The sequence below is a fragment of the Homo sapiens genome, chromosome 12, assembly GCF_000001405.40.
Source record: "Homo sapiens chromosome 12, GRCh38.p14 Primary Assembly".
NCBI classification, from domain to species: domain Eukaryota; kingdom Metazoa; phylum Chordata; class Mammalia; order Primates; family Hominidae; genus Homo; species Homo sapiens.
Window position 1 is genome coordinate 126702637 of NC_000012.12, and position 23576 is coordinate 126726212.

Below are 23576 nucleotides of genomic sequence, written 5' to 3' on the forward strand. Positions count from 1 at the left end.
AGGATTATATATATATATATATATATATAGTATCATACATATCTATCTATCTATCTATCTATCTATCTATCTATCTATCTATCTACCTGTCTATCTACCTAGTAGGATATGTATCCTACTCTTAGGATCTAGGACAAAGAATAACATTCTAGCCATGAAAATACATAATAGGCAACTAAATAAAAATTAGTTATTTAATCACAGATTTAGTATATATACAAGATCAAACCTAGGGGAATGAACATATGACAGGAGAGTCAAAACAAATTTGTGTAATCAGGAAAATCCACTCAGGAAGTGACATTTGTCTGAAATTTTTTTAAATAAGTGAAATCAACTGGATGAGTGACTAATCAGAACATTCTATAAAAAGGGAATCAGAAAGAAGGAATGACACATGCCCCGGATGAGAAGTCCAGTGCTTTTCATGAACTGACAAATAAATCACAATGGCCGCTCTGCAAAAACAAAATAAAACAAAGATTCTCAAGAATGAGGGTAAGGTGAGATGAGGCCAGAGAGGTCAGCAGAGGCTGGGACATATTAAATCTTTTCAGCTATTGGAAGAATCAAGATCGTTTTAGAAAAGTAAGTTGTGAGCCACAGAAAGACATTAAGTAAGGAAATACTATAATCAGATTTGGTTGCTGTAAGAGAAACCCAGTAGGGAACAACAGATGAATTGAGATACACTGGTTAGTTTGAACTGGAAATTGTGCAAAAGGCTGGAATTGAAGGACATTTATGGGGTAGAGGCAGCAGACCATGGCTGGACTTGGTCATCAGATGAGAGAGCTCTCACTGGAGAATTCCATTTTTTAGCACTGAATACAAGGCAGAGCCATCCATTGATTCAGGAGACCTGGAAAATGAGCACGGGGAATGTGATGAGTTCCATTATAGGTGATGCGTAATCCTGATTTTCCATGATACCCGTGAAAGATGGGCATTAAGAAATAATTTGTAGTAGGATAGCCATGCACTCAAGTTACTATTTCCAACTACTTACTATGTTCAGGGTGCTGCTCTGTGCAAGATGACAATGCCAAGACAACTTGTCCCTGGATTCTGCCCACAACAGAATACAGAAAGGGAAATGAGGCATGGATAGAACAGATACAAGGTAAAACCATACTGATCTCCTGTGAGATTCCTTCCCTCTTCCAATACAATCAAATCTTCCAGTGAGAGGTATCAGAGGAAGCTTCTCAGGGGCAGAAAAGAGAAACAATAGAAGGCCATATATAAAGGGCTGAAAAGATAAACAGCAGAAAGCCTATGTAAAATGCAGGTTAACCGCCCTATTTCTTCTTGAAGAGTCATAAAGGGGTTGAAAATATTGTTAATTCACTGAGGCTCATGGAGAAGGTGAATTGACTGTTTAAATTGTCAGACATGGTCCATCCTTTTCACCTGTGAAAGTCATTCATTTCTCGAGGTCAAGGAAAAGATTCTGTTCAATCTCTTTTATCTTGGCTGTGTAAACTAAAGGAAGAGTCAGCAGTTTAATGGAATAGTTGTTGGGTTTAATCAGCCTTTGGTGGCAAACTCGGTTTCCAATTACAGTGAACAAAGTTTTCCGAATTAAGTTTCCTGTAATAAACATTCATAGTCTCAGTAATAAAGCCAATAGTTCTTGAAGCAGTTAAAATGAACTTTCAATATAATGAAAAACTTATTTTCCTATCTAAACAGAGAAAAATTCAAAAGCTATAATGCCATGATATGGATCAATTAAGTATGGCATATATGTCATGATAATAAGAATGTAAACTATCTGGTAATCTTCCCTCTTCCCTATGTAAACAAAGGCTAAATATCAGTGAAGAAAATCCTTGAAAACACTTGTGTCAGTAACTTCTTAAATTTGTTCTCAAATGTTCTGTCCAACAAATGTAAAACAAAATGTTGAGTCCTAAAATACATTAGCTTGTATTTTAACCCAGGCTGAATCAAATAAATTTGGGGTAACTTACAGCAATGTATTGTTCTACTAGCTTACAATGTCTCTGATCACTGTTCATTTTGTAAGGAGCTACCATATTTGTCAGCAAGCAAAACTCATCTTTACCAAAAAGCAATATATTTGCCCCATGTCTAGTGAACTAAGCCTATTGAAAGCCCAACAGGGAAGGAAAGAGGAATAGTGGATTTATAGACCATGGTAATATCATTAGCCCCTGGTGGCAGAAAACGGAAACACAAACATCACAGAAAAGATTGGTGATTTCTATCCTTGCGTGCTTTTCTTTTTCTTTTTTTGTTTTTTTCTTTTGAGGTGGAGTTTCACTCTGTCACCCAGGCTGCAGTGCAATGGCATGATATTGGCTCACTGCAACCTCAGTCTCACGGGCTCAAGCGGTTCTCCTGTCTCAGCCTTCCAAGTAGCTGGGATTACAGGCGCCCACCACCAGGCCCAGCTAATTTTTTGTATTTTTAGTGGAGACAGGGTTTCGCCATGTTGGCCAGGCTGGTCTCAAACTCCTGACCTCAGGTGATCCACCCACCTCAGCCTCCCAAAATGCTGGGATTACAGTCGTGAGCCACCGCATCTGGCTGCTTTTCTTTACTTGAGAAATAAGGTATTAGCCACCTAGATAATCAGGGGGTAAATTATGGACTATTTTCTGACTAGATTTAAATTGATCACTGCCATAAACCATGGCTCAAATAGGAATGGAATTTCTGGGAAGCTCTTGAAGGCATGGTTTAGGCTGGTTTCTATCAGAATTATTTTCCCCTTTGCTGCTTATTCATGTGCTCATAGCCAAGCAAATACTGACTGGCTTTTACTACATACATGAGAATGACCTTGGGGTACCTTCAATTTTTTTTTTTACAGGTTTTGTACTGATTTATACAAAAATATTGGCTTGTCAATATGCAACACAGCCTGTGTGGGAATTCAGTCAAATTTATAGGTTTTTGTTGTTGTTGTTGCTTGATTTCCTTTGCTTTCAAGTAAAGGCATTTGTTCTTATTTCATACGATTTTACGTTGAGACTTGCTTTTTAGTCACCAATATTTCCTGAACTGCAGTGCTGCCATTTGCTTTTATAGACCACAAATAAGGGATAAGAATCTACTTAGCAGTATTTTTCTTGGCATTTTTTTGTCTGCTTTGAACCAGTATTTACTTAAGCCAATATATTTCTTTTAGTTATGTGATTTTTACGTTTCTCAGAGCTAATGGACTATTATTTTATATTTCAAACAGTTTCCTGCTACATTCCAATCTAGATTATGATGTATCTGCATGGGCATAATAATGTATTTCCTCTATAAAACCTTTTAAATATCACTTTCAATGAATCCACTGTAAAAATCACTCAGATCTTCCTACAAATATTCCACATTAAATAAGAATGTTTTATGTTCTGATATGCCTGGAACACTAGCAAATAAAATACTTGCAACTTGTCCTTAAAGTGCCATGAATGAGTGAAATGAAACTGGCATTTGCTGCACACAGAGGCCTCTTTAAATGAAATATTTTATTTAACTTTGAAGAAAAAACCACACATGTAGTTATATTGGAACCTAGAAGCTTGGAGGACTGTGCAAAGCAAAGACCCACCATTCAGAAGAAAGACTACCACCCAGTTGCTAGCGATGCCTGAGAGCTGGGAAGAAGGTCCCCAGGGAGCTGAGACCCAGACTCTGAAAAGATGAAAATGCCCAGGAGATGCTGATGTCTTTCGAGCTTGTGCTGAAGCTGGCCTCAGACAGTAGGAAGAAGCTGGAAGTTAGAATCAATGACTGCTGCCAGCATGCAGGGCCATTTACTGGATGGCATAGGGGAACAGCAGGAAAGACATAAAGAGCAAGATCCTTTTCCCCTTCTACCCCCAAGGTCTCCCTCTAGTGTCCCTAATGACAGAGCCCAACAGAAAGCAGCCGGCAAAGCAGAGGTGTGGTTTGCAGAGCTCCAGCCCTGACATCAGGGTGTGAAAGGGCAGGTCTGGAGCTGAGGTAGTAGCTTAAAGCCAGCATAAACAGTTCCACCCTCAAAATGTCGCATTTTATATATGTTTTTTTTTTCTTCCGCTTGTCTTAGAGACAAACAAATAAAACACACTTCTGGATGGTTTAGAAAGAATTCTCAATAAGTAAAATAGAACAGGCATTTACTAAGCACAGATAGCTCCTTAATGAACCCAGAAAGTTCTCAATCAGCTCTGAGCTGTGTATGTTATGATCTCCTTTCTCAGGGGAAAGAAGCTGAACTCAGGAGGTGGCATGACCAGCCCAATGCTACACAACTAAGGAGTTGCAGACCCAGACCCAGGACTGCCCCTTTCCAAGTCAAAGAATATGTTCTCACTCCTGGTATTGACTGCTACAGAACATAGGCTTGACTCTGTGAACTGGGTTTTGTTATACTTATGAGTTTTAGTAGGATTTGGGATGCTGGCACCTACAGCCTGTGCTCAGGTGTTTGGTAAATGAAGGAATGTCAGGATTCTGAAAGGCACACGGTATTGAAGACAAGATCTGAGAAGTTAGCAGGGCACACACCTGCAGAGGGGTATGTCTTAACAAGACAAAATTCACATCCTCTATTGTAGCTTCATTTATTTATATTTCATCAATTATCTGCAATGAGGGGGCATCTTACAACTAATTCATCTTGTAGGCAGCATTTGTTTTTCTTAGTGGTATATAAAATAAGAGTAAGTCTGACCAATGCTAGCATCTTACATCTAATGAAATATGGTACAGTATTTATTATAACCATTGTCAGAAAGACGGCAGTCAAACTCTTTGAGGAAGGGGTGCCTTTTCTAACTTTACAAAGGTACCACATGGACAGGTAGCTGCCTGGGGAGTCGAATACTATACATTTTCAATATGGATATTTTTGCAGTGGAATAAAACTAACATGACAATAATGTATCCCATATTCAGAAGTATTAATAATTAATGGAATTTGGGATAAAAAGAGGCCAGGAGCGGTGGCTCATGCCTGTAATCCCAGCACTTTGGGAGGCTGAGGCGGGCGGATCACCTGAAGTCAGGAGTTCAAGACCAGACTGGTCAACAGGGCGAAACACGTCTCTACTAAAAATACAAAAATTAGCTGGGCGTGGTGGCACATGCCTATAATTCCAGCTACTTGGGAGGCTGAGGCAGGAGAATCACTTGAATCTAGGAGGTGGAGGTTGCAGTGAGCCGAGATTGCGCCACTGCACTCTAGCCTGGCAACAGAGCGAGATTCCATCTCAAAAACAAACAAACAAACAAAAAAACAAACAAACTTTCCCTTTAAAATTTCTACACATTTCTAAACTTATATTTTTTTTAAAAAAAGGAATATTTTGCACATTTTAGCAGTTTTTCTCCTCAGAAGACAAAAGTTCAAATGAAATATTTTATATATACTCAGATCTCTCATATATGTTTTACTCTGTTTTCCATTAGAATCCATCAAAACCATAACCTTATCCATCAAAATCACACCATTTTACATTCATCTATTACTTTATTCCTATAGCATTTCCATTTCATGCCTCATTGAATTCTATGATCTTTCCATTGCCAGTACAGGATGCAAATCACAGGCAGATGATTCCCAAAGACTCTTCTCCTCCGCCCAGATCTTGATGTCCTACCATCCCCTGAAGTTGATGTATGTGGGGTTCTGAAAGGTAACCATGCTTACTTTCTGGTTTGGTCCCCTCTGTGTTGGGGACCCTGATACCACCCTTATGTTCAGAGAGTCACTAGAAATACTCAAGGGGCTCAGCATAGAGTTGTACTACTGGCTAAGATTTATTACAGCAGCAAAATGAGGCAACACAGTCAGATTGTAAGGGACAAAGACACAGGGGGAGTCTGGAGGAATTCATAAGGCAGCCTTTCTCATGCTTTCTTCCTCCTATATGAGAGTTACACAGAGTGAGCTTTTCTGCAAAATGTTCAGAAGGTTTCTGTCCGGGGAAGCCCAAGATTTTTATCTGGACCTGCTCACATAGGCAGTCTGCCAATCACGTTTCAGAATTTCAGATTCACAGAAAGAAACCAGATGTTCAGCAAAAGCCACATGATTGGCACAAACATTCTAAAAACAGTGAGTCATTATTATCACTTAGGGAATAGCTCAAATGCAAAGTACCCAGACACCAGCCAATGGCCAGCAAGCAGATCTTTCTAAGAAGAGCAGTTTCTGGCTATGTTAACATTATTCTGCAAACCCTCCAAGCCCCATCACTGGCCCAGCCACAGCTACTAGGTGGCTGGACGGAAAGAAGCCTCATTCTTTCCAAAGATGACTGTAGATAGTTAGACTCATTAGTTCCTACCGTAATTTGTTGTTTGTTCCGGGTGACACAATAGAGCATGTGAAATTATAAAACTCTTTCATATCTCCATATTCAATTTCACTGGACATGTTAGCTCCACTTCTCTCTTTTTTTTTTTTTTTTTTTTTTGGCAGAGTCTCACTCTGTCACCCAGGTTGGAGTGCAGTGGTGCAATCTCAGCTCACTGCAACCTTTGCTTCCCAGGTTCAAGTGATTCTGGCACCTTAGTCTCCTGAGTAGCTGGGACTACAGGCATGTGCCACCATACCTGGCTAATTTTTATGTTTTTATATTTTTGGTAGAGACAGGGTTTCACCATGTTGGCCAGGCTGATCTCAAACTCCTGACCTCAAGTGATCTGCCCACCTTGGCCTCCCAAATTGCTGAGATTACTGATGTGAGCCACTGCGCCTGGCCAGTTTCTCTTCTTATATCATAATTTTAAAATGTTTGCAAGCCATGTGTATAATGCTTTACTTTAATTAAACAATCTGCAAAACAACATTTTCAGTTTCTTTATGAAGCTAAACATAATAACAACAACAAAAAAATCACTTTATGTAAAAATATTCTAAACACACTCTTCTCAGCCAATGCCAAGACTAGAAATCATTTCAACTGTTAGAAAACAAAACAGTTTTGTGTTGTGTGTTTGTGTTTTGTCTTACATCTCTTCTAGATGTAGAACAAGACTGTACCTTTTGCAGACTAGGAGGCAAATTGACACACTGTAGACATATGATAATTATTCTATTTGTCATTGAACATTTATTGCCAAATTATCAACTATAGCAAATGTAAATGTAAATTTCTATAAATATAGAATATATAGAACCAGGTAGCCCAAAGTGGTATTTTGTTCAACAACCTAAAATAAATTCTACCTGGCCTAGACTATTCCTAGATATAAAAAGAAAAATAAATCTATGTCAAAGTGAATTTTAACCATGAAATGCTCTCACATCTTCCAATTTTAAAGGACCTGAATGATGTAAAGAACTTTTTCAGAACAGAAATTGGGAAGGCAAAGTGACTCTGTTTAACTTTGGTGTGAATTCAAGTTGGGGGACCATTGACCCCACCCTATGTGTTACTGTTGCTTCTCAGAAATACCTCAAAGACCAGCTGCTTTCCAAATTGTCCTGATTTGGACAGTTTCTTTTTCTTTCTACAGTCTTTTTAAAAAACTTTCAAGTTCAGGAGTACATGTGAAGGTTTGTTTTATAGGTAATCTTGTGTCATGGGGGTTTGTTGTATAGATTATTTCATCACCCAGGTATTAAGGTTAGGACCCACTAGTTATTTTTCCTGACATTCTCCCTCTTCCCATTCTCCACCCTCCAGTAGGCCCCAGTGTGTGTTGTTCCCCTCTCTGTGTCCATGTGTTCCCATCACTTCGCTCCTACTTATAAGTGAGAACATGTGGTATGTGGTTTTCTGTTGATTTGGGCAGTTTCTAAACATCTTTTTTTTAAAAACAGCAATGACTCTGGGAAACATAACTTGAGGATATAGAACTTCTAAGCCAAATTTTGTGCATGAATGCTCAATACAGGAGGTGAAAGGACTGTTGGCAAGGGAGTGAATTGAGGAGGAGGTATCCAGAGGATAGAATGGATGATGTGGGGTTGTTCTCTATCCAGCCCTTGAACCAGATTAGAGTTCCTAGGCACAGGTGAAGCCCAGAGCCCAGAAAGCTATTTTGCCTAGAGATTTGGTGAGGTTCTATTCAGGTAGCGATGATTAGGACCTTATGGGGGTATGAGCAGACACATTCCCTGCCTTGCCCCTTAGACACTGCTACATGGAAGGAAGACAGGATTGAAATGAAGACAGTGAAATGGACATTACTCATCTCAGGCCTTATCCCTGTCCCCACCCCCTCCATTCAAATAACATCTCTGGATTTGCTTTTTAGATTCTAAACTTTCTCAACTCTAGTGTACATGGTTTTGGTGTAATCTCCAAGCCACAGCATGAACCAAATACCGCAAGCCTAACTCGCTCACTGCATCTTGCACACTGGACACAGAAAGTGAAGGAAAGAACTCCAATTTACATGCAAATGTATATATTTGAGATGACTATGTTTCATTCCCTCTGCACCATCCCAAGTCACAGTTGGTAAAAGATTTCCAGGGTGGAAGTGGGAGCTTTAAAATAATGTAGAATATAAAGGATTGAGGAATTAAAGTGTTAAATTAGACCACTATAATCAATCTAATTATATTTGAAGGTTATAATTCTATCTGAGGCAAAAATGTGCATTCCCTTCATCTTAGGAGGTATTTAAATCATTTACTTACAAAAATAGATCACAGCATGTTAGAGCCAGCAGCGATCACTTTATTCAGTGGTTGGGCCAACTGACACCCAGAGGTTGGGTGGCTTATCCATGGTCGAGGAAATGAAAGACTAACTTAAATAACAAAGACAGCTCTTGGCTTCTTGGCTCAAGGCTGCTTTCACTTTGGAAGTTTCCTCTAAACAATGATCTATGTAAGGAGTGTGGGATTATATGCACATTGGACACACTGACAGAGGACAAAGCCATGTAGGGTGAAGGCCAGAAAGGAAGCAAGGGAGAAGGGAGGGATGGAGGGCTGAGAAATTTGTCAAGTGGCAACCTAGGGCTCTTTCTCCGATTCTGTCCTAGTGGGGGACTCCTCTACCCCTTCACCAACACCTGTTTTTCCTCATGAGGTCAGACTAATCGAAGAAATGGTACCTCTTGTCTGGCCTCTCTTTGATGCTTGACCTTATTCTCAAAAAGAAGTCAAAGATTATTTGAGTCACAAGATATAGCTCAGATTTTGTCTAGCATTATAACATTTTTACTCTGTTAGCATACATTAATATGTCATACCAAAAAAAAACCCTTCCTCTCTACTTCCAAATGTAAAAGAAAATTTACATTTGAGTTTAAATTCTTATGTTCACCCAAACGCACTATTTTAAATTGATTTGACCAATTTTTATGAGCTATATAGGCTGAAATTGTATAGCCCATGACCTATAAACAAATATGAAGTCATGCACTAGAAAAGCTGACATTTAGAGAAAGAAAAAAATCTTTTTTAAAAAGCATGAATATCCAGCACTGTATTTAATTCCCCAAATAAAAGCTTTCTAACTTAGAATCTTCCGTAAGAACCTGAGAGCCCAAGAGTTATTCATGATATTGCAGTGAACCTCACCTCAGGCTAAAATTATAACCAAGATCCAAGGATAATTACGGCTGGACACTGGCAACCAATTTGTTGATAGGCGGTAAATATGCAATTGGAAAGCAGGCAGACTCATGGCCTGGAGGACTTTGTGAATGCACGGTGTATTTTCCTGGGGAAAAGGTAGGAAAGATGGTACTGATTTAAATTCTAAGGGCTACGTTTGCAAAACTCACATGTTTAGGTTTTTAAACTAGTTTCTCCAGCACAACGCCTGATGATTCCATAATCAAATGCATCAGCCCTTTTCATTGAAGGGCTGCAGTCACAAGGCACAAGCAGATCCAGTACTTAGCGATCCTGTTACAACCTTCTCTCCCTTTTTAAAAGTTGTTGATAGAAAAAATACATGTGGGTTGGGCGCGGTGGCCAAGGCCAGTGGATCACCTGAGGTCAGGAGTTCGAGAACAGCCTGGCCAACATGGTGAAACCCTGTGTCTACTAAAAATACAAAAATTAGCCAGGTGTGTACGCCAGTAATCCCAGCTACTCAGGAGGCTGAGGCAGGAGAATCGCTTGAACCCGGAAGCCAGAGGTTGCAATGAGTCAAGAGCATGCCACTGCACTCCAGCCTGGGCATCAGAGTAAGACTTTGTCTCAAAAATAAATAAATAAAAATAAAAATAGACAACAAAAAAAGAAAAAGCACATGTGGTCTCAGCAACATAGCAAGCTCCTTTTCTCCACCAAAAAAGGAAATAAAGATGAAAAATTTTTAAAGAAGAACAAAACACATGTGCCTAGACATTCCTTGATTACAATCCAAAACCCAAAGATGTTCTGCCGGAGACATAACATGCACGACACACAAGCAGAGAGGTCCCAGGTGAGCGTCTACAGAGTAGATTGGCACCAGAATTCCACTCACGAGGCAGCCAGATCACCTGAGGTTAGGAGTTCGAGACCTGGACAACATGGTGAAACCCTGTGTCTACTAAAAATACAAAAATTAGCCAGGCATGGTCGTGCACGCCAGTAATCCCAGCTACTTGGGAGGCTGAGGCAGGAGAATCACTTGAACCCAGAAGGCAGAGGTTGCAATGAATCAAGAGCATGCCACTGCACTCCAGCCTGGGCATCAGAGTAAGACTTCGTCTCAAAAGTAAATAAATAAATAAAAATAAAAAAACTAAGCAACAAAAAAACAAAAAGCACATGTGGTCTCAGCAACCTAGCAAGCTCCTTTTCTCCACCAAAAAAGGAAATAAAGATGAAAAACTTTTACAGAAGAAAAAAACACATGTGCCTAGACATTCCTTGATTACAATCCAAAACCCAAAGATGTTCTGCCGGAGACATAACATGCACCACACACAAGCAGAGAGGTCCCAGGTGAGCGTCTACAGAGTAGATTGGCACCAAAATTCCACTCAATAAAAACATGTTCTTCCCAATTATCTGTAGTGTAAATCCAGGCAGAACTACCGAAATTGAGGAGTAATCACCGGGTTTCTCAATAGACACCAACAGAAAAGGATTTTGAAGTGTTCCCAGTAGGTCTTTTTAAAAAACAGCAGTGGCAACTTGAGTGATAAGTAAATTTTTCACTGTCCCAGGTGGATCTGGTCTGGGTAAAAGAAATAATTCGGCCTTTTGAGAACTCACTTGGGCTGCTAGCAGCAGCTCACTGGGCAGGTTCTGCTTGTGTGTAAAATGTGCCTCAGCTGTGTGTTTTAGGGACCGCAGACCATGTCACAGAGACAAGGGAAAGACAGCCGAAGGTGAACTCCCGAATAGTTCTACACTTTGCTTGAAAGTTATTTAACTCACAAGGCAGGACAATTGGCTTCTTAACCAAAGTCCATTCACCCTTCATGGAAGGTGACTCCATCCTTGGCGCAGGGGTAAACCCAGAAAAGGTAGAACCCAGAAAAGGTAGAACCCAGATTCTACCCTTGCCAGTGATTGTTGGGCATGAGACCTGGTTCTGGACAATCAGATGCAAAGGAACATCTGCTGGGAATTTCCTTTAAAAAAGTTCTCTTACTGAAAAAAGGAGACACTTAGAACGCCTGTCCAGTTTTGACAAAATCCCCGGAACATGAGCAACCATTCTGCTGACTGTAAGGGATCCAGCCTAAGGACCTAGTCAATAAGATGAAGACAGCAAAGCAAAAGCACAGAAAGAATCTGAACAAATTTGACACTTTTGAGCTGTTATAAATTAGCCTGTTTTCAAACTGCCCTACTGTGATACTTCTTATTTTTACTTTTTTTATTTTTGTAGACAGGGTCTCACTCTGTCACCCAGACTGGAGTGCAGCGGTCCGATCTCAGCTCACCACAACCTCCACCTCCCAGGCTCAAGTGATTCTCCTGCCTCAGCCTCCCGAGTAGCTGGGATTACAGTCACGCCACTACTGCCTGGATAATTTTTGTATTTTTAGTAGAGACAGGGTTTCACCATGTTGGCCAGGCTGGTCTCGAACTCCTGACCTCAAATGACCCACCTGTCTCGGCCTCCCAAAGTGCTGGGATTACATTCATGCCACTACTGCCTGGCTAATTTTTGTATTTTTAGTAGAGACAGAGTTTCACCATGTTGGCCAGGCTGGTCTTGAACTCCTGACCTCAAATGATCCACCCACCTTGGCCTCCCAAAGTGCTGGGATTACAGGCGTGAGCCACCATGCCCGGCCCCATAATACTTCTTGATATTGAAACTCCTAATGCTCCATGCCATGTGAGACTTTTTGAGTTTTATTTCCTCTGGTTTACAGGCATTACTAATGCACCACTGAATCACAGGGAATGTTTCCATATGAATGTGCGTGATTGGCTGCTAGAGTGATTTCTTTCTCTTTATCATTTGGAACTCTAATAACCACCTGGTAGTGAGGCAGCACAGAGGAAAACAATCTCCCTGGCACAGTAATCCACCACAGGCAAGTCATCTGTGGTGCAAATGTAACTCACATCACTTTCCTCCAATCCCTCCCTGCATCATGCTTGAAGTGATCTTAGCACTTCATCTCATGCTATGGTGTCTCAGGCACTTGGGACCTGGAGCCGGACCTGTCTGATTTAGATCCCAGCCCTTCCACTATCTCTCTAAGTATACATCGAACAAGCTCTTGAGCACCAAGCTTTACTTTCCTCATCTCTAAAACGGGAATGAGGAAGGTCATTGTTGTTAAATAAGAATGAGAGGTTGTTGTAGTTAAATAAGACGATGAAAGTACGACTCTTAAAGCAGCGCTCAGCACAGAGTTGGTGCTTAGTTAGTTTAGCCAATATGGATGTCTCTCTCTTTTTTTTTTTTTTTTTTTTTTTTTTTTTTTTTTTTGTGAGACGGAGTCTCGCTCTGTCGCCCAGGCCGGACTGCGGACTGCAGTGGCGCAATCTCGGCTCACTGCAAGCTCCGCTTCCCGGGTTCACACCATTCTCCTGCCTCAGCCTCCCGAGTAGCTGGGACTACAGGCGCCCGCCACCGCACCCGGCTAATTTTTTGTATTTTTAGTAGAGACGGGGTTTCACCTTGTTAGCCAGGATGGTCTCGATCTCTTGACCTCATGATCCACCCGCCTCGGCCTCCCAAAGTGCTGGGATTACAGGCGTGAGCCACCGCGCCCGGCCGGATGTCTCTCTCTTAAAAGTCTACCCTGTAAACCATTATTGAGCACTTTTGACCCTGTGAACATTTTGCAGGGAGATGGAGGAAAGAAGAAAAGAGAGGGGAGGGGAGGGGAGGGAAGGGAGGAAGGAAGGAAAGTTTCTTTAGAACACTTTGCAAACTCTATAGAGGATTAGGAAGCTAGATCATAGTCTTTCAGAGAGAAAATGAATGCAAATCCTAGAAACATCCTGTCATGTGTGAACCCAACACTATTCTCCACTGGGAGTGCAGTCATTGCTCTGATCTGGCTGGCTTTAGAATGAGAATCTCCTCTCTGCTATATGAAGAGGGAACAACTTGTGCAAACTCTAACAGAGGAAAGGAAACCCATTTGCAACCAAAAATCAGAAGCCACGTCTATTGCCTGGTCCTCCTTGATGCCAAGCTCTGCACACAAAGCCAGGTGTCTTCTGTTCTATTCTCTCCATCATTTACAGAATGATTTAGTTAGTAAGGCAGGACCCATTTAGTGAAAACAACAATAACATCAACAAATCATAATAAATTTCTTCATAGAGGTAATTCATTTCTTTTCCATCAACTTGCCTGTTTCTGTACTAAGACAATAAATACGTTTTTGTTACTTTAACTCTAGTTTTTATTTTGGCATCTCGGGGACAAATCTCCTCAACTCTGACTTCTGTGCTTCTTCCTGAAAATCATGTTGGCAATTCTGGTAGTTTTTCCTTTTCTATTTCAGAGAATCAGATGAAATCAATGAATCACCACTATCTTCCCCCAATTTCTATCTCACCCATGGCCAAAGTTAGATTGTAGAGTTCAAACTCTTCTGTACTTGACAAACTGCATAGATATGGAGTATGTAGCCGCCTCTCTCCCTGAAATGAGCTGGCAGCCTTGGGTGCATTCTTGCATATGTGTGTGTGTGTGTGTGTGTGTGTGTGTGTGTGTGTGTGTGTCTGTGCGCACGCTAGAAGATGGGTAAGGAAGAGTTTTAATAAAGGGCAACTAAGGAAATTTGAGAAACAAGTTAAGTCAGAAAGTGGCAGTACCTAGACCAAAACCCACTTTTTCTTAATACAAGTTGTCTGTTTTTCTCTACTCACTGATCTGCAATGGACATCTGGAAACTTCCATAGGTTTTGAAGAAGATAACAAAAATGTGTATGATGACGAGTATATTGAGGTTGCTATGAGTCCTTTCTTGCCTGGAAATTTTCTCTATTCTGCTATTTTGTAGTTCATATCTTTCATAAGAAAAAAATGTCCTCTGTCACATGAAATTCTGATGACAGTACATAATATTGGATAAATATTTTATATCTATAATTCACAAAATAAAATACAGGCAATATTTTCTAGCACCCTCATTAAGATCAGTAGACAACAGATAGCAAGATGGAGAGAGAGAGAGAGAGAGGATTCCTTTTGTTCAGTTGGCATTAAATATTTTTCTCTTAAGGAAAGAGGATTTTGAATTGGGCATTTATCCCCCAAGAACAGAGAACCCTCATAAAATACAGAGATGGAGTAGTTTCTGGTCCCCATCTCGATAGAATAAATGGGAGAATGTTGTGTTGACCTGACTTCTGACTCTAGTGTTAGCCTTATCTGAAACCCCTGAAACTTTCAGCTATTTTTTTTTTTTTTTTTAGACAGAGTTTCACTCTTGTTACCCAGGCTGGAGTGCAGTGGCACGATCTCGGCTCACTGTCACCTCTGCCTCCTGGGTTGAAGAGATTCTCCTGCCTCAGCCTGCCGAGTAGCTGGGATTACAGGTGCCCACGACCATACCCAGCTAATTTTTTGTATTTTCAGTAGAGATGAGGTTTCATTATGTTGGCCAGGCTGGTCTCGATCTCCTGACCTCGTGATCCACCCGCCTTGGCCTACTAAAGTGCTGGGATTACAGATGTGAGCCACTGCACCTGGCCTTCTTTTTCTTTTTTTTTTAAATCTCTCTCTTTTCTACTGTTAGTGCTGATTATTTTTAGTGACTGTCTTAGTCTATTCTCACATTGCTATAAAGATATACCTGAAACTGGGTAACTTATAAAGAAAAGAGGTTTAATCAGCTCATAGTTCTGGGGGTTGTACAGGCTTCTGCTTCTGGGGAGCCTCAGGAAACTTACAATTATGGCAGAAGGCAAAGGGGAAGCAAGCACATCTTCACATGGCCAGCAGGAGAGAGAAAGAGAGCAAAGAGAGAAGTGCTACACACTTTCAAACGAGATCTTATGAGAACTCTATCACAAGATAGCACTAGGGGGATGGTGATAAACTGTTAGAAACAATCACCATGATCCAATCACCTTCCACCAGGCCCCACCTCCAACACTGGGGCTCACAATTCAACCTGAGATTTGGGTGGGGTGGGGAGGCAAAGCCAAACCATATCACTGACTAATTTCTGTGATCTGCAACCAGGTGTCTTATCAGTGTCCCTGGGCTCTTCTCCTGAGAGCAACAGACACAGAGCTTACTATTAAGGTTAATCACTGCCCTCCAGGTATTTGAAGATGCTCATCTGCTCATTCCAGTGACACTCTTCTTGCTCTGATCTGAATTAATATTTTTCCCTTCCTTTTTAACTGTGGTGGTTCCTTGGCCTTCAACAGATCATTTAGAAACTCAAAATAAATATTTAATTTGGTGTTACAATAATATGTTTTATCTTATTGGCCTTGCCTTTATTGGGTGATAATGATGGTGATGATAATGGTGATGATGATGATGGTAATTGTATGGTGATGATGATGATGGTGATGATGTGATGATGATGATAGTGACAATGATGGTGATGATGCTCCTGATGATAATGGTGATGATGATGATGATGATGATGATGATGGTAATGATAATGGTAATGGTGATGATGATGATCATGATGATGACATTGATGATGATCATGGTGATGATAGCTAATATTTTTGACCACTTACTATATTCTAGCCACTTTACTAAGCATTGTACATACATGATCTACTGAATCCCCACAATCATTTTGTGAGGTATGCATTTTTAACATTTCCATTTTAAAGACGAGAAAGGGAAGGATTAGAGGGACTAAATACTTACAGAAGAAAATAAATCAATATGCAAAGAGAAACAAAATTTGTAGATGGGGGAAGAGAACAACCAAGATAGAGAAGAGATCATTTGATTTGACTCCTAGATGAAACAATACCTGAAGCTATCATCATCCCTAAACCTCAGTTTTATGAGCCAATGCATTCTTTTTTCCTTAGAATATTTAAGTCTTAATAGTATAACTACAAATATCCTTGATGGTTTTTACATGATAGCTCAACTGATACACTCATTACAAGCTAAATAGAGGTAGTCACTTAAAAAGCTATTATGTTTCCCCACTGCCCAGTGTCAATACACAGAAGTAATGTCAATCACTTTTTCTCCCCCAGGTCTCAACACGTGGCAGTAGGCAGCAGAATTAATTCCCTGTGCCTCCTGCAATTCCCTGAGCCTCCCTTTCTCAAAACGCCAGCTTTCTCACAAGGATAGCCTGAGACATACGGAAGTGGGAATGATGTTCTGTTCTCAGGTGAAGTGTTTGTGCATATGTGTGTGTCGGGGGAGAGGAAGGTAAGCAAAACCAGTTGTTCTCAGATGACTTGCAGCACCTGAGCATGTCCTTTATTTTATCTTTTTTTTAAAAAAAATACTTAATAGCATTTTCACTTCCTAGTTTCTCCATTATGTTGAAGTTGAATAGTCTTTGGTAGGTCTTGTCTTACTTTTCAAGAACATTATGGGAATTCTGCAAAAAGATAGCTACATGCAAAGCTATCATTTCTATTGTTACAAAAATATGTGACACACTTACCTTATGCTATCAAAGATGAATGCTATCCTCCACATATCCTTTAAATGGGCTTCACAAGAAGAGGATGGTCCCATTTCTGAACATTGCCTTGTCAATGGATGAGGAGGTTTGCACTCAGTCAAACTGGTTAAGCTAGAATCATATTTCCCTAAATCTCTTGTCCTGTTTATTTCCAGGTGATGATTGGCCAATAAAATAAATTTAGACGTGATTTGGATAGTAAAAATGAAGCCACAGTCACTGATCACTGAAGATCATTGTGGGTACAGGTGGGAGCTAAGAGCTAGCAAGGTATCAGTGGGATTTACAAGTCTTTTCTTTATTCTTTATCCTGCTCTTCTTGTCAATTGCCAGATTTCCTGACCAACAAAGGGCCCAGGCCGACTGCCACAAGTCTGAATGCAGACCTGCAGAAGCAGCAGCAACTCAAAAGGACAGCATTCCACAGACCTTCCCTGCACTGCCCTTCATAGCCCACTCTGCAGCTGGACCTGCCTACTCGCCATACACCCTGAAAGCTCCCACTTATCCACCTAACCTCAACTTGCTCTAGTGTTCGAGGAGGGCTGAGTGGTGGTTTTCCTCGGGCCTTCCAACACTTGCCCTTCTCCCCCAAGTATTACAAGCCCTCATTCTAAATATATCCCTGATTTCATAATACTAATAGAAGTGCTGCTTCTCTGATTAAACCCTGACTGACACATGGAGTGTTTTATTACCATTTAATAAACATCATGTCAAACCTAATGATTTACGGTCAACATAAATTACACAGGGAAGGTGAGCAAAAGAATCCCTTTCCTTTTTGCCTCTATGCTGTTCTAGTTTCAGCTGGCCTGAGCTTCCCTCTCTTGGACTCTTCAGTCTAACAGCTAACCCATATATGACACAAAGATCAAAGGTCAGATTCTTGGGCTCCATTAAGGCTGCTACTTTAAATGACAGCACTATTTATGGACTCTTTATTGAAGACAGATCACCCTTGGAGGCTGCCACAACCTTTACTCATAAATCAGACATCAAGTGCCTCTTGGGGGCTAAATACTGCCTCTCCTGTTGAAGACATGAAGGGGTGTAACATATACTCAATTTGCTGCCACACAAGGATTTAGAATCTGCTTACTCCCTCAACCTAGGACTCAAGGTCCAGACAAGGAAATTTGATTTTTTTTTTCTTCCTTTTTCTTTCCCTGCCAGCCACACACACCAGCCGGTGTTCCCAGGGGACACTGGCAACTGTATGTAGGCTGAGCTTTGGCGTAGAAGAAATAAATAATCTATAGAAGAAAATACGTCAGAATATTTTCTTATAAAAATGAAGGAATGACCGTTGCATCATTCCAAGTACCAAAATAATACACTAATTGAAAATTTTCCTCTAAATTTCAATGTTCTCTAACAGAGATTATTCTAACTTAGTTGTTTTCAACAGGGTCAATTTTGGCAACGTCTTGGGACTTATTTGTAGGTAGTTTGTTTAATCCTCTATGCCTCAATTTCCTTACCTTTAAAGAAAATAGAAAATATAGTAACGCTATAAGGTTGTTGCAAATAATAAATGAGCTGGCCAGGAACAGTGGCTCACGCCTGTAATCCAAGTACTTTGGGAGGCCGAGGTGGCTGGATCACTTGAGGTCAGGAGTTCGAGACCAGCCTGGCCAACATGGTGAAACCCTGTCCCTACTAAAAATACAAAAATTAGTTGGATGTGGTGGTGCATGCCTGTAATCCCAGCTACCTGGGATGCTGAGGCCAGAAAATTGCTTGAACCCAGGAGACAGACATTGTAGTAGGCCAAGATTGCGCCACTGCACTCCAGCCTGGGTGACAGAGTGAGACTCCATCTCAAAAATAAATAAATAAATAAAAATAATAATAATAAATGAGTTAATACATGTAAAAACCACTTGAAACAGTGTCCATTGTTTATAAGCACTTATACGTGCTAGCTATTATGGTTAGGTATACAAATTGAATAAAGGGACTAGCAGTGTGGTGAATGAATTCCCTTTGTAACATAATTTGAGTTCATTCTACTTGTAATCTAATACAAATCTTATTAAGCCATATTAAGCCACAATGCATCTAAATGGACAATTTGCTGACCTTGAAACTGAGAGAATGGGCTAAGAAATTATATTGATGATGATTGCATGACGGTTCATGAAGAGACCAGGATGGAGCCAGGATAAGTGGTAAGAATGGGCATTTGGGTATCAATCTTCAAGTTGATCTCACAAGGTAAGAGGCATCTGCATTGGCTCCTGCTACCCTTCATGGGAGATCAATTTCCACAGAGGCTGGTTTCCTGGAAAGCATTGACCCCAGAACAGCACAGGGGCCTGGGACTTTTCTGTCTTGTTAAGTAAAAGTTACAAAAACTAATTTATCTTTGTTTAAGTAGAAAATTGAAGCAAGTGAAACTTGACTGAAATGTACTAACAAGTGGGAGTCGACAGAGACCAGTGACGTGTCCTGCAGTCCAGGTAGGAGCCAACTTCCAGAAATACCTGAGCTCCAAGCTGCCTATTGGGGCAGAAGTCACAGGGGATGTGGGTCAAAGGGTGAAAGTCTCAGTTAGGATGCATAGGCTCTGGAGCTCTGTTAGACATCATGGTGACTATAGTTAACAATCGTGGACTGTGTAGGTAAAATTTGCTAAGACAGTAGATCTTAAATGTTACCAAAGCCCTCCCCAATGGTAACTAGGCTAGGAGATGGATATGTTAATTGGCTTGATTGTGGTAATCATTTCACAATGTATACCTCTATCAAAACATTCTGCTGTATACCATAAATATATACAATTTTTATTTTTCAATTTTACCTCAATAAAGCTGAGGGGAAAAAAATTGTCCAGCCTGGACAACATTCTCTCCCACACTCATCTCTGCTAAAAATAAAAAATAAAACAGTAGCTAGGCAAGGCGGTGCCCACCTGTAGTTCCAGCTACTTTGAGAGGGTTGGGTGGGAGGATCACTTGAGCCCAGATCAGGGCTTCATTGAGCTATGATTTGCCACTGCACTCCAGCTGGGGCAAGAGAGTGAGGCCTCATCTCAAATAAGTAAGTAAAATAAATAAATAAATAAATCATCTAGTAAATGTGAGTTCTGAAACTAGACTATCTGAGTTCAAGTCTCAGCTCCATCACCTACCAACTGTGTGGCCTTGAGCAAGTAAGTAACTGGACTTCTTTTTTTTTTTTTTTGAGACGGAGTCTCGCTCTGTCACCCAGGCTGGAGTGCAGTGGTGCCATCTCGGCTCACTGCAAGCTCCGCCTCCTGGGTTCACACCATTCTCCTGCCTCAGCCTCCTGAGTAGCTGGGACTACAGGCGCCCGCCACCAAGTCCGGCTAATATTTTTTTTTGGATTTTTAGTAAAGATGGGTTTTCACTGTGTTAGCCAGGATGGTCTCGATCTCCTGACCTCATGATCCTCCTGCCTCAGCCTCCCAAAGTGCTGGGATTACAGGCGTGAGCCACCGCGCCCCACCTAACTGGACTTCTTTAAGCATTTGCTTTAAGCATCTGTTTTCTTGTGTGTAAAATTGGTATTACGAGAGTACATACTTTTAGGGTTTTCATAAGGATTAAATAAGTTACTTCAAGTATTATGCCTAGAAGAGCATCTGCAGGTCTAAAGATACTACTAATATTGCAAGGTAGATGACTTTAATTTGACATGTCTGCCTTTCGGTGCCTCCATTGTTAAAATGAGGCTAACACTGTAAGGCTTCACAGGAGTCATTCATGCAACAAACGGTCCTGTGATGCACACTGTGCCCGGCCCCACTGGAGAGACTGTGAAAGCACCGCTCCATCTAGTCACACTCCAGGGAACTCACATGGGGGCTGGGCAGGGGGACCTAAGAGATAGATAATCGGCACATATCGCTTCTCGGCCTTTTGGCTAAGATCAAGTGATAATCAGCAAGTAAATGCAGAGGAAGGAGAGCTGGGGAACTCTGGGCACAACTTTACAGCTTCGTGGTTCATATTCTTTTCTAGGAGAAAGGAAGGGTGGATGAGGCCCCAATCCATCGGTTGGAAATAATGGGCTATGTTTTATTCCTCAGTGCACTGAGAAGGAGAGCAACATTTAAGCGTGTAAGTGTGTGTATGTGTTTGTGTGTGTGTGTGTCAGAGAAAGGGAGGGAAGGAGAGAGAGAAAATAACATATTTCTGCTGCTTTAGGAAGACCAGAGAGTCTCCATCTGCTTTGTAACTGTAGCTGCTTCCTAAGGTCATGTGTAGGCTACGCAAATCAAAGGAGTCTTGGAAATTCTCAGCAGTTTTTTTTTTTTCTATGCAGACCTGTTGAACCCCTCATTTTTCAGTGACCCTTTTGTTGCCAGAGGGCTCAGGAGGGTATCTGGAAGCCAGTGGGACCCTAGCCCCAGCAGTGTCCAGGTTCTTGACACCATGGAGAGAAAGAATTCGATGACAAATCAGAATAAAGCAAAAGGCAAGAAGCTTTTACTGTCAAGCAAAAGTACACACAGAAGAGAGAAGTGCAGGCGTGCTTGGGAGAGTGAGAAGAACGTGGCAGAATTTGGGTGTCTAATTTTATAGGCTCTTCTAATTAGGGGAATAATCATGATATTTTCTAAGAAAACAAGTAGGGATATCTTAGAATTGGGATGCCACCCATTTATGTACTAAATATACATTGGTGCTGGTGGGTGTGTGATTTTGGATGGTGACGAGAGTACAGTTAGGTCGGGTAGGGCATAAGTCAAGTCCATCACCATATCAGATCCAGCTGGTCTCAACCAGCTTTGCCCCCTACCTTGTTTGTTGGGGTCTTATCAGCCCAGGCTTGTCTTTGTTCTTGTCACTAATTCTAACAGCTCCTTTCCTGCAGTTATGTGAAATTGCTGCTTCATATTTTCCCTCTTCTCCTGTGACCACCCAGCATTCCGATTTAATGGGTGTTTCTTTAATTAGGGGGTAGAACAATCATTAGGTGCTCCAGAAAAAGAGAATTATATGGTTTGGCTGTGTCCCACCCAAATCTCACTTTGAATTGTAATTATCCCCACATGTCAAGGGTGGGGCCAGGTGGACATAATTGAATCATGGAGGTAGTTTCCCCCACACTGTTTTCATGGTAGTGAATAAGTCTCATGAGATCTGATGGTTTTATAAACGGGAGTTCCCCTGCACGTGCACTCTTGCCTGCAACCATGTAAGACATGCCTTTGCTCCTCCTTGCCTTTTGCCATGATTATGAGGCCTCCCCAGCCATGTGGAACTTTGAGTTCATTAAACATCTTTGCTTTACAAATTTCCCAGCTTCAGAAATGTCTGTATTAGCAGTGTGCGATCAGACTAATACAGAGGGGATTTCAGGGACTCCCCATGAATGCCCCCTTTCTCCCTTAATTGGGTTTGCCTGGAAGAGTCATGGGCCTGTCACCCTGACTGGGGTTTTGGCTGTTTTTGCTCCGTATTTTGGGTTTTCAGTTATCCTGGGTTTCTTTGTGTAGTTCTTGTTTCAGCTGTTGTTTGGGTCTTTCCACCCTGTGACTACCCAGTGCTATTCCTGTCCCACCTTGGCCTGGCTGAGATGTTACCACAGCTGCCTTCTCCCCACTGCAGGCAAATGGAACTAACTTAGAATGGCGAGTTAATGGGTTCAGCACACCAACATGGCACATGTATACATATATAACCTGCACGTTGTGCACATGTACCCTAAAACTTAAAGTATAATAAAAAAAATAGCTCTTAAGGAAAAAAAAAAGTGAGCTGGTGTCAAGCTCCTCCTGGGACTAGAACTCTCCAATACGCTGTATCAGGGGCACACTCCCAGGATGAGTGGGTTGTCCAAGCCCACCCCTCCTCTCCTAGTCCTGTTGAGGGTTATCTTCCTGTGCCCAATTTTGGAGACAAAAATTGATTCTTCATTGCTAGCATCTATCTCTTTCATTGTCATTTAATCACAGGAGTTTTTCCTTATTCTATTTCTTTTGAAATTCTTTCCTGGCTCAGGACGCCCTGGGGTGCTCCACTGAAGGAGACTACTGTGACACCTTGCGAGCAAGCAGGCTTCCTTTCTGAGGTTGCACCGAGCCAGCCCTAGGTGTGTGTGTGGGGGGGACTGGGCCCTGCCTCCAGGGTGGGCAGACGCAGAGGGTGCTGCCCTGGGGTTTGGGGAGGGAAGAGGCTGGTGTCTGAATGCTGTTCATTCACTGCAGGCAGGGTCAGGAGAGCGGTCAGGCTCTGACTCCCACCCCCTGCAGATCAGGCCAGAACTGAAATCATCTGGTTGGGCCCTGGTAGAGGCAACTTCCATGAAAGAAGAGAGAGCGCGCTGGGTGCAAATCAGCGGGAAAGGCTGGGGGAAGACGGAAAGTTTGGATTTCTCCTGCCCCATGGTGCAAAGCCCAAACCAAACCAACTAAAAACCTGCCGTTGCGGGAACAATTCTGCGGGGAAAAGGGGGCACTTCCACCTAAATAGTTAGCACAGGCTTATCGTGTTAAAAACTCAATGAGGCAATAAGGGTAAACTGAGCGATTACCCTTTCTTCAGTGATGAGTTTCTGGTGTGTTTCCGCATGTTTGAGTGTTTTCCCCTACACATTTATAAACACAGGTACACGTCCGTTTATACAAACAC

At 41.5% G+C, this 23576-nt stretch overlaps 1 long non-coding RNA gene across 1 annotated transcript in view; it reads left to right on the forward strand.

Annotated features, from left to right (window-relative positions):
* LINC02824 (long intergenic non-protein coding RNA 2824) overlaps positions 1 to 17694 on the forward strand; it is a 29915-nt gene extending 12221 nt beyond the window's left edge. Inside the window, exons 4-5 of the long non-coding RNA NR_183614.1 lie at positions 5543 to 5648; positions 16529 to 17694. This is a non-coding gene — a long non-coding RNA (long intergenic non-protein coding RNA 2824). The remainder of the gene's footprint in view (positions 1 to 5542; positions 5649 to 16528) is intronic.
* The last annotated feature ends 5882 nt before the right edge of the window (positions 17695 to 23576 follow it).